The sequence below is a fragment of the Homo sapiens genome, chromosome 17, assembly GCF_000001405.40.
Source record: "Homo sapiens chromosome 17, GRCh38.p14 Primary Assembly".
In the NCBI taxonomy this organism is placed as follows: domain Eukaryota; kingdom Metazoa; phylum Chordata; class Mammalia; order Primates; family Hominidae; genus Homo; species Homo sapiens.
This window is the reverse complement of record NC_000017.11, coordinates 61,898,370-61,914,001: the sequence shown is the minus strand read 5'-3', so window position 1 is coordinate 61,914,001 and position 15,632 is coordinate 61,898,370. Positions and strand designations below refer to the sequence as shown.

The 15,632-nt window shown below is 40.7% G+C and overlaps 1 protein-coding gene across 4 annotated transcripts in view, besides 1 other annotated feature; it reads left to right on the top strand.

The window, feature by feature from the left end:
* The window catches only part of INTS2 (integrator complex subunit 2), a 62,616-nt gene that overhangs the window by 13,981 nt on the left and 33,003 nt on the right, over nt 1-15,632 (top strand). For all 4 annotated transcript variants that reach the window (XR_934509.3, NM_020748.4, NM_001330417.2 and 1 more), the window contains exons 6-9: nt 1,932-2,062; nt 2,309-2,482; nt 6,368-6,594; nt 9,417-9,542. Coding sequence is in view for 3 of the 4 variants with exons in the window: in NM_020748.4 (NP_065799.2) it covers nt 1,932-2,062; nt 2,309-2,482; nt 6,368-6,594; nt 9,417-9,542 (658 nt within the window). In the remaining variant the exon portion in view is untranslated. The remainder of the gene's footprint in view (nt 1-1,931; nt 2,063-2,308; nt 2,483-6,367; nt 6,595-9,416; nt 9,543-15,632) is intronic.
* Nucleotides 9,376-9,685: an enhancer, noted in NCBI's record as "active region_12536". NCBI's record gives its function as "activates an Ori minimal core promoter by ATAC-STARR-seq in GM12878 lymphoblastoid cells {active_cell/tissue: GM12878}" and the evidence as "EXISTENCE:reporter gene assay evidence [ECO:0000049][PMID:35858748]".

Here is a 15,632-nt window from a genome sequence, read left to right as displayed (position 1 = left end):
TATTTGTTTTCTATTTATTTTCTTTTTCCTCTTGTACTTTGTGCCATTGTTGTCATGGATTTTACTTTTACATGAATTATAAACCTTAGAGCAAATTGTTATTACTTTTGTTTTAAACAGTTAATTATATTTTAAAGACTAAAAATATAGAGGAAAATACTATTTATCCACACATTTACCATTTTTGGTGCTCTTAATTCCTTTCTGTAGTTCCATATTTCCATCTGGCATAATTTCCCCTTAACTTGAAGAATTTTCCTTATTTTTTGTAGGGTGGGTTTGTTGGCAACAAATTTTACTGGCTTTTTTGGTCTGGAAAAATATATTTTCAAAGGGTATAAAATTTTAGGTTGACGTCATCTTTTAGCTATTTAAAGATGTCATTCTGGCTGGGTATGTGGCTCACACCTGTAATCCCAGCACTTTGGGAGGCCAAAACGGGAGGATTGTTTGAAGCCAGGAGTTTGAGACTAGTATGGTGGCAAAGCAAGAAAGCAAGATCCCATCTCTAGGAAAAAAGAAAACAAAGAACAAAGATGTCATTCTCTTTTCTGCAGTAAATTTTATCTTTGTTCCTCTGTAAAGTTTCTTTTTCCCTCTGGCTACTTTTTTTTTTTTTCTTTAATTTCTTCTGGCTCCTTTTTTTTTGTTTTTTTTTTGGGAGACGGAGTCTTGCTCTGTCACCCAGGCTGGAGTGCAGTGGCATGAGCTCGGCTCACGGCAACCTCCGCCTCCCCTGGGGTTAAAGCAGTTCTCCTGCCTCAGCCTCCCGGGTAGCTGGGACTATAGTCATGTGCCCCCATGCCTGGCTAATTTTTGTATTTTTAATAGAGATGGGGTTTCACTATGTTGGCTAGGCTGATCTTGAACTCCTGGCCTCAGGTGATGCGCCTATCCTCTGCTCTAGTTACTTTTTCTCTTTTTTGGAGATGGAGTCTTGCTGTGTCACCCAGGCTGAAGTGCAGTGGTGTGATCTCGGCTCACTGCAACTTCCACCTCCCGGGTTCAAGTGATTCTGCTGCCTCAGCCTCCTGAGCAGCTGGGACTATAGGTGCGCATTACCACACCCAGCTAATTTTTGTATTTTTAGTAGAGACAGGGTTTCACCATATTGGCCAGGCTGGTCTCGAGCTCTTAACCTAGTGATCCACTCACCTCGGCCTCCCAAAGTGCTGGGATTGCAGGTGTGAGCCACTGCACCCGGCCCTGGTTACTTTTAAGATTTTCTTTTTATTACTGGTTTCAGAAAGTTGACGTATGATGTTTCTTGGTATGATTTTCTTTGCATTTGTTCCACTTAGGGCTCATTGAACTGGGTTTAGAGTTTTCATTCAACTTGGGAAAATTTCTTCAAATTAATTAATTAATTAATTTATTTGAGAAGGAGTTTCGCTTTTGTCGCCCCAGGCTGGAGTGTAATGATGCGATCTTGGCTCACTGCAACCTCCACCTCCCAGTTCAAGCGATTCTCCTGCCTCAGCGTCCTGAGTAGCTCGGATTACAGGTGCCTGCCACCACGCCCAGCTAATTTTTGTATTTTTAGTAGAGATGGGGTTTCACCATGTTGGCCAGGCTAGTCTCGAACTCCTGACCTCAGGTGATCCATGCCCCGCACCCCCCCCCCCCCCGCCCCCACCTTGGCCTCCCAGAGTTCTGGGATTACAGGTGTGAGCCACTGTCCGTGGCCCTCAAATGTATTTTTGTCTCGTACTTTCTTTGTCTCTCTGGGACCGTAATTGCAAGTGTGTTTGAATGTGTAATATTGTCCCAGAGTTTACTATTCTTTTTTAAGTCTCTTTTCATTTTTTGCTTCATTTTGGCCAATTTCTGTTGTTGTGCTTTCAAATACCCTGATCCTTTTCTTCTGTCATGTGAAATCTTCATGAACAATTAATTCTGAAGGCTGAAGAAGATGGTTTCTATCATGTTAGTTTGTAGGGGCCTGATAAAAAATGGAGAACGACAAGATGAAGAAAGTCTTGGAGGAAGGCGCAGGACAGATGCCTTACGCTTCTTGTGTAAAATGAATCCTTCTCAGGCCCTCAAGGTCCGAGGCATGGTGGTAAGTGATCCTGTGTTTTATTAGACAAAGGCCTTTATATTAGGTCCAAGAACTCTTCTCAAGATGGTTTTAGAGTCCTGTAGAGGTGGGGAATTTTATTTATATACTGGATATGTTACCTTCCTCTCTGGGTTTTTATGTTTTGTAGGAGTTCTTCCTCTAAACTTTAGATACTTTAGATTTGGAAGCATCACTGGCCTTTTTGCTTATGATACTGAATTCAGTTTGTTTTCTTTTCTGTGCTAGGTGGAAGAATGTCACTTGCCAGGCCTTGGTGTGGCTTTGACATTGGATCATACTAAAAATGAAGCTTGTGAGGATGGAGTGAGTGACTTGGTTTGTTTTGTAAGTGGTTTGCTTCTTGGAACAAATGCGAAAGTCCGGACTTGGTTTGGAACTTTTATCCGAAATGGACAGCAGGTGAGGGTTAAATATCTGTATAGGCTAAGGATCAGAATACTTTAGCAGCTGCTAAAAGAGAAAGAAACATTTTTTGAATGATGTCATTAGACAAGTGGTTCTCACACTTTCTAGTTTCAGGGACCTCCTTATATTTTAAAAAATCACTAAGGATACCAAAGAGCTTTTGTTTATGTGGCTTTTTTTCTGTTGATATTTACCATATTAGAAATTAACACTTAAATATTTGAAATATTTATTTAGTTCTTTTAAAAATAGGAACAGCTGGTGTGTTGGTATGTGCCTATAGTCCTAGCTACTTAGGAGGCTGAAGCAGGAAGATTGCTTAAGCCAGGGGGTTCTAGGGTATAGTGTGTGATAATTGTGCCTGTGAATAGCGACTGTACTTTAGCCTGGGCAACATAGCGAGACCTCATCTCTTAAAAAAAAACCAAAACCAAACAACAATAACCCTATTAAATGTGAACATAACATATTTTAAATGAAAACTAACTGTGTTTTCCCAAACAAAATTTAATGAGAAGAATGATAGTTTTATTTTATTGTATTTTTTTCAAATATCTTCAATGTCTGGCTTGGTAGAAGCCTTTGGAAACTGCACCGTACCCTTGTGAGTGAATGAGAAAGAAAAAGACAGATAATGTCTTGAGTATTATTAACACCTTTCCAGACCCCCTGAAAGCATATATCTCCAGGGTTCTGGGCCAGACTCATGAGAACTGGTGCATTAGATCACTGAAATAAGTTATTATATTTTTAAATTTTAATACATATGTGTATATATGTTTTTATTATGGTAAAATATACATAACATAAAATTTTGCCATTTAATCATTTTTAAGTATATAATTCAGTGGCATTAAGTATATTTACAGTGTGCAACCATTATCACTCTTCGTTTCCAGAACTATTTTTTTTTTTTTTTTTTGAGACGGCGTCTCACTCTGTCACCCAGGCTGGAGTACAATGGCGCAATCTCGGCTCACTGCAAGCTCTACCTCCTGGGTTCGAGGATTCTCCTGCCTCAGCCTCCTGAGTAGTTGGGATTACAGGTGCCCACCACCACACTTGGCTACTTTTATTTTGAGTAGAGGCTGGGTTTCGCCATGTTGGTCAGGCTGGTCTAGAACTCTTGACATCAGGTGATCCACCCACCTGGGCCTCCCAGAGTACTGGGATTACAGGCGTGAGCCACCACTGGGCCTGGCCCATTTCCAGAACTTTTTCATCATCCCAAACAGAAACTCTGTATCCATTAAATAACTCCCCATTCCCCCTATCATCCCATCCTCTGGTAACCTCTATTCAACTTTCTGTCTGTATGAATTTACCCTTTCTGGCTACCTGAAGTAAATGGAATTATACAATATTTCTCCTTTTGTATGTTGCTTATTTCACTTAGCATAATGTTTTCAAGGTTCATCTATGTTGTAACATGTGTCAGGATTTCCTTTTTAAAGGCTGAATAATATTCCATTGTGAACTTAGAGTAGAACTGCCATTCTGTCCAGCAATCCTACTGCTGGGTAGAGAAATCATTATATAAAAAATGTACCTACACTTGTATGTTTATTTCAGCACTATTCACAGTAGCAATGTTATGGAATCAACCTAAGCATCTATCAACGGATGGTTGCTTAAAGAAAATGTGATATATGCACACACACACACACACACACACACACACACACACACATACACACATGTACACACACACGTATATATGTATACACACACACAAACACACACACCATGGAATACAACTCAACCATAAAAAAGAATAAAATCATGTCTGACAGTAACATGGATGGAACTGGAGGCCATTATATTAAGTGAAATAACGCATAAACAAAGTCAAATATTGCATATTCTCAATTATGAGTGGGTGCTAATCATGTGTACACATGGACATAAGCGAGTGGGATAATACACATCATAGACTCCAAATGTTGGGAGGGTGGGAAGGGGGTGAGGGTTGAGAAGTTACCTATATTGGGTACAGGGTATACTATCAGGGTGATGACTACACCAACAGCCCAGACTTCTATGCAATAGATTCATGTAACAAAACTGCACTTGTACCCCCTAAATCTATAAAAATAAGAAGTAAGGGCTGGGTGGGGTGGCTTACGCCTGTAATCCCAGCACTTTGGGAGGCTGAGGCGGGCGGATCACAAGGTCAAGAGAGGGAGACCATCCTGGCCAACATGGTGAAACCCTGTCTCTACTAAAAATACAAAAATTAGCTGAGCGTGATGTGCGTGCCTGTAGTCCCAGCTACTCGGGAGGCTGAGGCAGGAGAATCGCTTGAACATGGGAGGCAGAGGTTGCAGTGAGCCGAGATCACGCCACTGCACTCCAGCCTGGTGACAGAGCAGGACTCGGTCTCAAAAAAAAAGAAAAATAATATTCCATTGTGTGTATATACCACATTTTATTTTATACGTTCACCTGCTTATGCATATGTATTTTGCAACAGTTTTTAACTTGCAAAATGTTTTAATTTTTCAAAAACTAATTTATATTAACTATGTGAATAGAGTTCCTATGAAGGAGCTAATGCAGATTGCGATTTAACTCGTTGAGGTCACTTAGCTAGACAACATGTATACTGCTTAGATCCTGTAGTCTATTTTTAAGCTACTGAATCATAGTTTTTTAAAATATTCAAGTTCTATTTTATAGCCCATTTGAAAACTGATTTTAAGCTCTGCTTTTTAAAACAAAGTTAACATTTATTTATTGGATGCTTCATATATGTCAGGTACTGCCTTAAGCACTTGGCATGCTCATCTTGTTTGTAGTTGTCTTTTGTATTCAATAAACCTTTATTCTTTGAACTTACTGTTATTATTAAAGCAGGTCTATCATATTTTACTTAGAGACACTCAAAAGATAATAATTAACATTTGTCTAGCCCTGTATAGTTTAGAACTGCTTTCATACATGTATTATCTCTGTTCATTCATCTACTTAACAGACTTTGAGTGCTTGCTGTATGTTAGGCACAATGTTCGACTGTGCAGAGTGAGAGAAGACTAAGGCATTGTCCCTGCCTGAAGAACTGTAGTGGTTATAGAATTGTAAACTCTTTTGTTTTTTTTGAGACGAGAGTATCACTCTGTTGCCCAGGCTGGAGTGCAGTGGCGCCATCTTGACTCATTGTAACCTCCGCCTCCTGGGTTCAAGCGATTCTTGTGCTTCAGCCTCCCAAGTAGCTGGGATTACAGGCATGCACCACCACACCCAGCTAATTTTTATATTTTTAGTAGAGATGGGGTTTCACCATGTTGGCCAGGCTGGTCTCGAACTCCTGACCTCAAGTGATCCGTCCGCCTTGGCCTCCCAAAGTGCTGGGATTACAGGCGTGAACCACTGCATCAGGCCAAGAATTGTAAACTCTTAATTATAGGAGTTCTATAAGGTAAATATTGTTGATAAAATATTTCCTTGTCATTAAGGAAATTGGGGTTCAGAGAGGCTAACCAATGTGCCTAAAGGTATATAATCGTCTAATAGTAGAGCTGGCATTTAAACCCCAAGAACTTACGTCTTCAAAATCTGAGCATTTTCTCCTATACCACATATCACTTTGTTAGTCTTTATGTATTTGAAAGTACCATTGAAATAATATTCCACAATTCAAATTGTCACTAATTTAGTCTTTCCTCTGCAACCAATCCAAATTATGGTGAATATTCATTCTTCAGACAAACTAGTGGATTTTGAGTTTGCTTGATTGGTTAAAATGAGATTCTGTAGTCACGACAATCTCTTCAAATAGGCCAATTTGAAAGTGTTTAAGTGGGGTGCTATGTTTTAGCTCCCTTTTAGTTTAGTAAATGCTTCATGCTTTCTTCCTTTTGTGATCCATATTTCTTTCAGAGAAAAAGAGAGACCAGCAGTTCTGTCCTTTGGCAGATGAGAAGGCAGCTTCTTCTGGAGTTGATGGGCATTCTTCCCACAGTAAGAAGCACCCGAATTGTGGAAGAAGCTGATGTGGATATGGAGCCCAATGTGTCTGTGTATTCGGGGCTGAAAGAAGAGCATGTTGTGAAAGCCAGTGCACTCTTACGTCTGTACTGTGCTTTGATGGGGATCGCTGGACTCAAGTATTCAATAGTTTGATATTTTACCTTTTTGTCATTTTACCTTCTTGTTTCTATTCTCAAGAAAGTGAGCCAAAGGCCTTTTATTCAGAGGATTAAAGTTTTCTGTTGGACTCAGGTAGTGGGCTGGCCTGTAAGAAGAATGAAATCCTAAGGCCAAGAATTTCTAGCAGAGATGTATTCATCTATTTTGTTCTGATTGTAAACAGAACTATATAAATATGGGAGGAGCCAGAGCAGTTTATCAATTTCCAATCACAGTTTAAAGAAACCTGTGATTTCAACACAGCTTGACAAAACTATAGTGAATGATCTGTGAGTGATCTTTTACCATTGACTAGTTGAAGTAAATCTCTCCTTTGTTTCCTTTTACAGCTGATATCATAATTGTTTAAAATTAATATGATGTGATTAATAAGTACAATGTTTTTTTTTTTTTTTTTTTTTGAGATGGAATCTCCGTCTGTCGCCCAGGCTGGAGTGCAGTGGTGTGATCTCGGCTCACTGTAACCTCTGCCTCCCGGATTCAAGCGATTCTCCTGCCTCACCACACCCGGCTAATTTTTTTTTTTTTTTTTTTGTATTTTTAGTAGAGACGGGGTTTCACCATGTTGGCCAGGCTTGTCTTGAACTCCTTACCTCAGGTGTTCTGCCTGCCTCAGCCTCCCAAAGTGCTGGGATTACAGGCATGAGCCACTGTGCCTGGCCAGTACAATGTTTCTTAGTCACCATACAAAATCCTTTTGAATAGTGTTCTTAATAATTGTACATACAGTCCTCATTTGCATGTCTCCAATATGCATGAGTTTCAGTTACGCCAGTTTATTTAAATAATGCTGGTCTCTCAACACAGTTGCCATTTCAGTTGCCATGATACATTAACCAGTTAATTGTATAGAGTTTGTGAGCTCCTCAGGACACAGATCACTAAGTAAATAACAGATGTACATCATGGTTAGTGACCAATGGCCTCACTTCTTTCAAAGTCTGTCGGTAGCTGGTTACTGCACACCTGTTATTTGATTCATGTACATATAGCAGAGGAGGTAGTTGTAAAGGTTGAATATCCCTTATCTGAAATGCTTGAGACCAGAAGCGTTTGGGATTTTAGAACTTTTCGGATTTTGGAATGTTTATATTTACCGATTTAGCATCCCTAACAGAAATTCAAAATCCTTAATGCTCCAATGAGCATTTCCTTTGAGCTCATTACCTCATATTGGCACTCAGAATGTTTTGGAGTTTGGGGGCATTTCAGATTTTAGGTTTTTTGGATTGGGGTTACTCAACCTGTATTGCTTCCTTTCTCTCCATAATGAACTCATGTTCCAAAACATGGAAACAGTTTTTGGAACATTATATTCCAAAAACAGATAATTGGAAGAGACAGTTGGCCAATAAAGATGAAAGCATAGGCCAGGCGCGGTGGCTCACGCCTGTAATCCCAGCACTTTGGGGGGCCAAGGTGGACAGATCACCTGAGGTTGGGAGTTCGAGACCAGCCTGACCAACATGGAGAAACCCTGTCTCTACTAAAAATACAAAATTAGCTGGGTGTGGTGGCACATGCCTGTAATCCCAGCTACTTGGGAGGCTGAGGCAGGAGAATCACTGGAACCCAGGAGGTGGAGGTTGCGGTGAGCTAAGATTGCACCATTGCAGTCCGGCCTGGGCAATAAGAGTGAAACTCCATCTCTACAAAAACAAAAAACATAAAAAAAAGGAGGCAAAGGCTGTTTAAACTACTCTTGATAAAGTCTTTACGAAGAAATAAAAAAACTTTAAGACCGGGCACAGTGGCTCACGCCCATAATCCGAGCGCTCTGGGAGGCCAAGGCTTGTGGATCAGTGAGGTCAGGAGTTCGAGGACAACCTATTCAAGATGGTGAAACCCTCTCTCTACTAAAAATACAAAAATTAGCTGGGAATGATGGCGTGTGCCTGTAGTCCCAGCTACTCAGGAGTCTGAGGCAGGAGAATTGCTTGAACTTAGGAGGTAGAGTTTGCAGTGAGCCGAGATTGTGCCACTGCGCTCCCGCCTGGGCGACAGGGTGAGACTCTGTCTCAAAAAAAAGAAAGAAAGAAAACAGTTTAATTCCCAATGTTTCTAATATTTTCAATTAGAGTACTATAAAAATATTAGTTTTACCATTTAAAAAAAAAAATTCCTGGCTGGGTACAGTGACTTACACCTGTAATCCCAGCATTTTAGGAGACCAAGGGAGGTGGATTTTTTGAGCCCAGGAGTCTGAGACCAGCCTGGGGAACGTGGCAAAACCCTGTCTCTACTAAAAAAAATAAGCTGGGCATGGTGGCGCATACCTGTGGTCCTAGCTACATGAGGACTGACGTGGGAGGATTACCTGAGCCTGGAAGGTCAAAGCTGAAGTGAGCTCTGATCCTGCCACTACACTCCAGCCTGGGCGATGGAGCAAGACCTTGTCTCAAAAAAAAAAAAAAAAAATTATGCATTATAATCAACAGAGTTTTTAATGTTTTGACAAAAATTTTAAAGGCTACAGTACAACCATACTTTTCACCATTGATTATTAAGATTGTGTTGCATGATTTCAGCTTGCATGGTCATTTTTATGGTCTCACACTACAGGGCAAAGGGAGGACCTGCCTGTATTTGTGTCCACAGTAAAACACTGTAGTTGTAATTTCTCAACAGTTTTGCATTTGGCAACTTGAGATGTTAAAGATTTTATAAATAGCAAGATACCATTATAAAGTTTAAAATTTGTAACTAAAAGGTTAAAAATTCACTTTTTCTTCTTCATCCCAACTAAAAATGTAAAGCCTAATGATGTATTCCTTTTTAGACCAACTGAAGAAGAAGCTGAGCAATTACTGCAGTTGATGACGAGCCGTCCTCCTGCTACGCCAGCTGGGGTTCGCTTTGTTTCACTTTCCTTTTGTATGCTACTGGCCTTTTCTACACTTGTCAGGTACCTAACTATATAAGTTGCTCCATTTTCTCAAGGTTTACTTTTATTTACTCAATAAAATTGTATAGCATTAGATAAGAGTTTTCTACAAAAGCTGGTCTAGGTATGGACAGTCGTAGTTTTGTTTTGTTTTTTCCAATTTTTAAGAGAAGGGGTCTAGCTTTGTTGCCCAGGCTGGAGTACAGTGGCTGTTCATGGGTATGATCATAGCACAGTGCAGCCTTGAACTCCTGGCCTCAAATAATCCTCCTGACTCAGCCTCCCAAGTAGCTGGGACTGCAGGTGTATGCCACTGGCCCAGCTTATTTGTATTTTTTTAAAATAAGGATATCAGTAGCATCTGATTCATTTTATTTATCTTATATATGTACATTGTTTAAATAAGTCGAAATAGTTCTTCAGGATTTGTTAAGGCAAATAGCAGTCCTTCCTTCTCTCCTTCCTATTTTATCTTTCTTAGAAGCAGTGTCTTTCAATTCTTTTAGCTGTTTATTTTGTGTTTTACTGCTACATCTGTAATAATATGTTTGTATTTGATACCTCTTGATTTTTGCTTTTAGGTATTTTTTATTGAGTTCCCAGTATGAAAGATGAGAAATTAGTTCTCTGTCTTTTTTCTCCCTGTCCTAAACACATCCATACATGTCCTTCCTATCCTCTCATTCTCCTAGTATGGTTATAATTTAGATTAGATCAATATATAGTTGTTATGATTATGTAAGCACTACTGAGAACTCAACCATGCAGTATATGATTATTTTTTACTTCCTTGTAAAACTTGTTTTTTTTTTTTTGGATTAATATTTATCCTGTGTTTTTGTTTTTTGCTTTTAACTTTCTTGGTGTTATATGTACCATTCATGTAACCTCAAACTCTCTGCCAGCCTAAATCTTCTCTCCAGATGTTTTGACTCATTAGACAGTCTGTGAGTTTCATCTTCTTGAGGAGATTTCTTCAGGAGCATTTTGGTCTGGAATGGTTACCAGGTATACCTGGTAGTATAAAGCTCTCATCCTGGGATTGACCTTCACCATCATTTTGGAGACTTGCTTCATCTCTCCTTTGTTGGATCTTCTGTTTCTTATATCTCATATCATCATATTACCCAGGCGTGGTGGCTCACACCTGTAGTCCCAGCTACTCAGGAGGCTGAGGCGGGAGGGTTGCTTGAGGCTATGAGTTCGAGGCCAGCTGGGGCAACATAGTGCGACTCCTGTCTTTGTTTAAAAAAAAAAAAATTAAAAAGAAAACCTATCCTTTCTTTCTTTTTTTTTTTTTTTTTTTCCTTTTTTGAGACGGAGTCTAGCTTTGTCGCCCAGGCTGGAGTGCAGTGGTGCGATATCTTGGCTCACTGCAAGCTCCACCTCCCAGGTTCACGCCATTCTCCTGCCTCAGCCTCCCGAGTAGCTGGGACTACAGGAGCCTGCCACCACGCCCGGCTAATTTTTGTATTTTTAGTAGAGACGGGGTTTCACCATGTTAGCCACGATGGTCTCGATCTCCTGACCTCGCGATCCACCCGCCTCGGCCTCCCAAAGTGCTGGGATTACAGGCGTGAGCCACCGTGCCCAGCCTCTGTTTTTTTTTTTTTTTTTTTTTTAAGCTCTTTCACCCAGGCTGTAGTGCTATGGCACAATCATAGCTCACTGTAATCTTGAACTCCTGGGTTGAAGTGATCCTTCTCCTTGAACCTCCCAAATAGCTGGGACTAAGGCACGTTCCACTACCCCTGGAGAATTTTTTTTTTTTAAGAGACAGTGTTTCGCTGTGTTGCCCAGGCTAGTCTGAAACTCATGGCCTGAAACAGTCCTCCCACCTCAGTCTCTCAAACCACTGGGTTTACAGGGGTGAGCCACTGTACCTGGTCTTAGAATGAGCAAGTTATTTTTAGAGTGCTGAACAGGTTCTAAAATTCTGTTGTGTTGGTGGTTGCATAACTCTGTATATACACTAAAAACCACTCAATTGTACACTTTGGGTAAATCTTATGGTATGTATATTACATCTCAATAAAGCTGTTTTCTAAAAAGTAGAACAAGATTGAGGGGAAGGAAAAGAGGAAAGGATAAGAAAATACGACAATCATTTCAAAAAGTCCAATTCCAAATAAAAGGAGGTTTTAGACAGAACACCCAAGAAGAAAACATTACCAACAAATTTATTCAGGAAAATTTCCTAGAACTGAGAGACATGAGTTTCCAGGTTCAAAGGGCTTACTGAATGCCTAGGACAATAGTCAAAAAGAGACTCAGGCTAAGGCATATCATCCAGAAATTTCAAAACCCTAGGGATAAAAAACTAATCCTACGAGTTTCTATATTAAAAACAAATAGGCCACACAAAGGACCAGGAATCAGAATGTCAGACTTCCTGACAACACTGGAAGTTAGAAGACAATGAAGCAACACCTTCAAAGTCCTGAAAGGAAATTATTTCCAACTTAGAATTCCATACCCCATCAAACTATCAATCAGATGTCAAAGTAGGACAAAGATATTTTCAGAAATACCCAGTCTCAAAAAGAATTTACTTCACACATACCCATTCTGAAGGAGCAAAATGGCCAGGCACACTGGCTCACGCCTGTAATCCCAGCACTTTGGGAGGCTGAGGCAGGTGGATCACCTGAGGTCAGGAGATCGAGACCATCCTGGCTAACACGGTGAAACCCCGTCTCTACTAAAAAAAATACAAAAAAATATTAGCCGGTCATGGTGGCGGGCGCCTGCAGTCCTGTAGGCTGAGGCAGGAGAATGGCGTGAACCTGGGAGGCAGAGCTTGCAGTGAGCCGAGATTGCGCCACTGCACTCCAGCCTGGGCTACAGAGCGGGACTGCATCTCAGAAAAAAAAAAAAAAAAAAAAAAAAAAAAAAAAAAAAAAGAAATCATTCTGCCTTTTAGGATTTGTCTTTAACTTTATCTTCAATTCCTATTCAGTCTTTAATTTCTAAGAGTGCTTTTTTGGCTCTCTGAATGTTTCTTCTTTGTAGTGTCTATTGGTTCATTATAGCATAATTTCTTTGATATTAGTCATACTGATTTTGAAGAGATTTTATTATTTGTATTGCTTCTTTTCTCTAAGCTGCTTTTTTTCCCTGCCTTTTTTGGGTCTCTATTTTTAAAGTTAGAAGCTTTTCTCAGATACTTAATATTTATTATTATTTTTAAATTTCTATTTATTTATTTATTTAGAGATGGGGGCTCTCTCTGTTGCTCGGGGCAAACTCAGTGGTACAGTCATAACTCATTGCAGCTTTGAACTTCTGGGGTCAACAGATCCTTCCACCTCAGCCTCCCAAGTGGCCAGTGTGGGCCACCACACCTGGCTTATTTTTAAAAGTTTTTTGTAGGGATGGGGTCTCACTTTTGTTGCCCAGGCTGATTTTGAACTCCTGGCCTAAGGTGATCCTCCTGCCTTTGCCTCCCAGAGTGCTGTAACTACAGGTGTGAGCCACCACACCCAGCCAATATTAATTGTTCATATACATATATAAATATAATTTTTGAGACAGAGTTTTGCTCTTGTTGCCCATGGTGCAATGGTGTGATCTCGGCTCACCGCAACCTCTGCCTCCCGGGTTCAAGTGATTGTCCTGTGTTAGCCTCCCGAGTAGCTGGGATTATAGGCATGTGCCACCACCCTCAGCTAAGTTTTGTATTTTTAGTGGAGATGGGGTTTCTCCATGTTGGTCAGGCTGGTCTCGAACTCCTGACCTCAGGTGATCTGCCTGCCTTGGCCTCCCAAAGTGCTGGGATTACAGGTGTGAGCCACCACGTCTGGCCGATTGTTCATATTTAAGACTAGGAAATGAAAAAGCATATTAGAACCTCTAATGCATAAGTGGGTCTTTGGGAAACTCTTGGGCTGATCAGAGTTCTAAAGATTATTGTCTGGCCTGGAGAGGGAAGACCTATACAGAAACCCATAAACAAAGTTAAAGAGTGAGGGTTAAGGGCTGGTAGATATCAGCCTGCAGTATAATCGTTTACTTAATTCTCCTACTTTCAGAATGGTGCTCCAGATATACCTGGTTGTCCCTTAATTCAGATGCATGATTTTACCACCTCCAGACAATAAATCTCCAGTCTTCTCTCTGCTGAGGGAAGGGTATTCTTCTAGTTGTGCAGAATGCAGGAGGTGATTTGGAGGTCTACTACTTATATAGAATGTCAACCTCTTAATTTTAGTCTGTCTTCACTCTCAGTCCTGGAACTGCCTGGAGTAGCCTGAGCCCTTTGGGAATTCCGTGGTATAAAATGGATGGGTTTTCTCTTCTACCAGTTTAGCATTTTGCTTCCTCAGGTCTGCTGAGTCCGTTTCCATTTATCTATATATTCTCTAGCTTCCAGTATTTTGTGGTGTTGTCCCTCCTCAATATCTTATGCGTTTATGCCTTTTAAGAAAATCCCTTTAATGTAGCTTTAATGGAGTTTCAGGATGGTGTAAAATTAGGTACATGAATTCTTTCTTTTCTTTTTACTTGAAGTACTTTCTAAACATTATCTCAAATCCTCATTACTCTTATAAGGTATTTTTTTTTTTTTTTTAGATAGGATCTTGCTTTGTTTCGCAGGCTGGAGTCCAGTGGCACGATCAGGGCTCGCTGCAGCCTTGGCCTCTTGGGCTCAAGAGATCCTCCCATCTTAGCCTCCCGTGTAGCTGGGACTACAAACATGCGCCACCATGCCTGTCTAATTTTTAAATTTTTTTGTAGAGATGGGATCTCACTTTGTTGCTCAGGCTGGTCTTGAACTGCTGGGCTCAAGCTATCCTCCTGTCTTGTCCTCCCAAATTGCTGGGATTACAGGCAAGAGCCACTGTGCCCAGCCTTATAAGGTATTTTTGTCTATATCTTATAGATAGAAAAACTAATGTTTAGAAAGATACTTAAAAGTCCTTAAGATAGGCCAGGCACAGTGGCTCATGCCTGTAATCCCAGCACTTTGGGAGGCCAAGGTGGGTGGATCACCTAAAGGTCAGGAGTTCGAGACCAGCCTGGCCAACATGGTGAAACCCCGTCTCTACTAAAAATATAAAAAATTAGCTGGGTGTGTTGGTGGGCACCTGTAATCCCAGCTGCTCGGGAGGCTGAGGCAGGAGAATCTCTTGAATCCGGGAGGTGGAGGTTGCAGTGAGCCAAGATTGTGTCATTGCACTCCAGCCTGGGCAACAAGAGCGAAACTTCTCAAAAACAAAAAAAAAGTTCTTAACATTTGAGAGCTACAGTGAAAAAGGAAAAGAAAGATTATTTGTGTTTCTTCTTCAAGATCACACTACCAGTAATTAGCAGAGATGGGATTCTCACTCAGATGTGGTAGGCTGTAAAGGCTGTAATCTTTCTACTACATAACACTTTATTATTTGTTATATGGTTTAGGTATAGTTGAGAATGACCTTTTTTATTTTCTTAGCTTTTGGTAATAGAAGAATTATACTTTTCATTTGCTTTTTGTTGCATCTATTTTTACTGCACTGAAGTGGAAAGAGATTGGTGAAAAAATTTTCACAAGTCAACGTCAGCTTGTACTTTTCAATTAAAATTTAGACCGGGTGTGGTGGCTCAGGCCTGTATTCCCAGCACTTTGGGAGGCTGAGGCGGGTCAGTCACCTGAAATCAGGAGTTCAAGACCAACCTGGCCAACAGGGTGAAACCCCATCTCTACTAAAAATAGAAAAATTAGCCAGGTGTGGTGGCAGACACCTGTAATCCCAGCTATTCGGGAGGCTGAGGTAGGAGAATCGCTTGAACCCGGGAGGCGGAGGTTGCAGTGAGCTGAGATTGCGCTGCTGCACTCCAGCCTGAGCAACGAGAGTGAAACTCCATCTCAGAATTTAGGAATTCCCTTTAAAAAGTCATTGTTAGGCTAGGCATGGTGGCTCACCTCTGTAATTCCAGCACTTTGGGAGGCTTAGGCAGGCGTATCACTTGAGCTCGAGAGTTCAAGACCAGACTGGGCAACATAGTGAGACCTCCCCTCTACTAAAAATAAAAAATATTAGCTGGATGCAGTAGCGCATGCCTGTAGTCCCAACTACTTGGGAGGCTGAGGTGGGAGGATCACTTGAGCTTGGGTGGTCGAGGCTATAG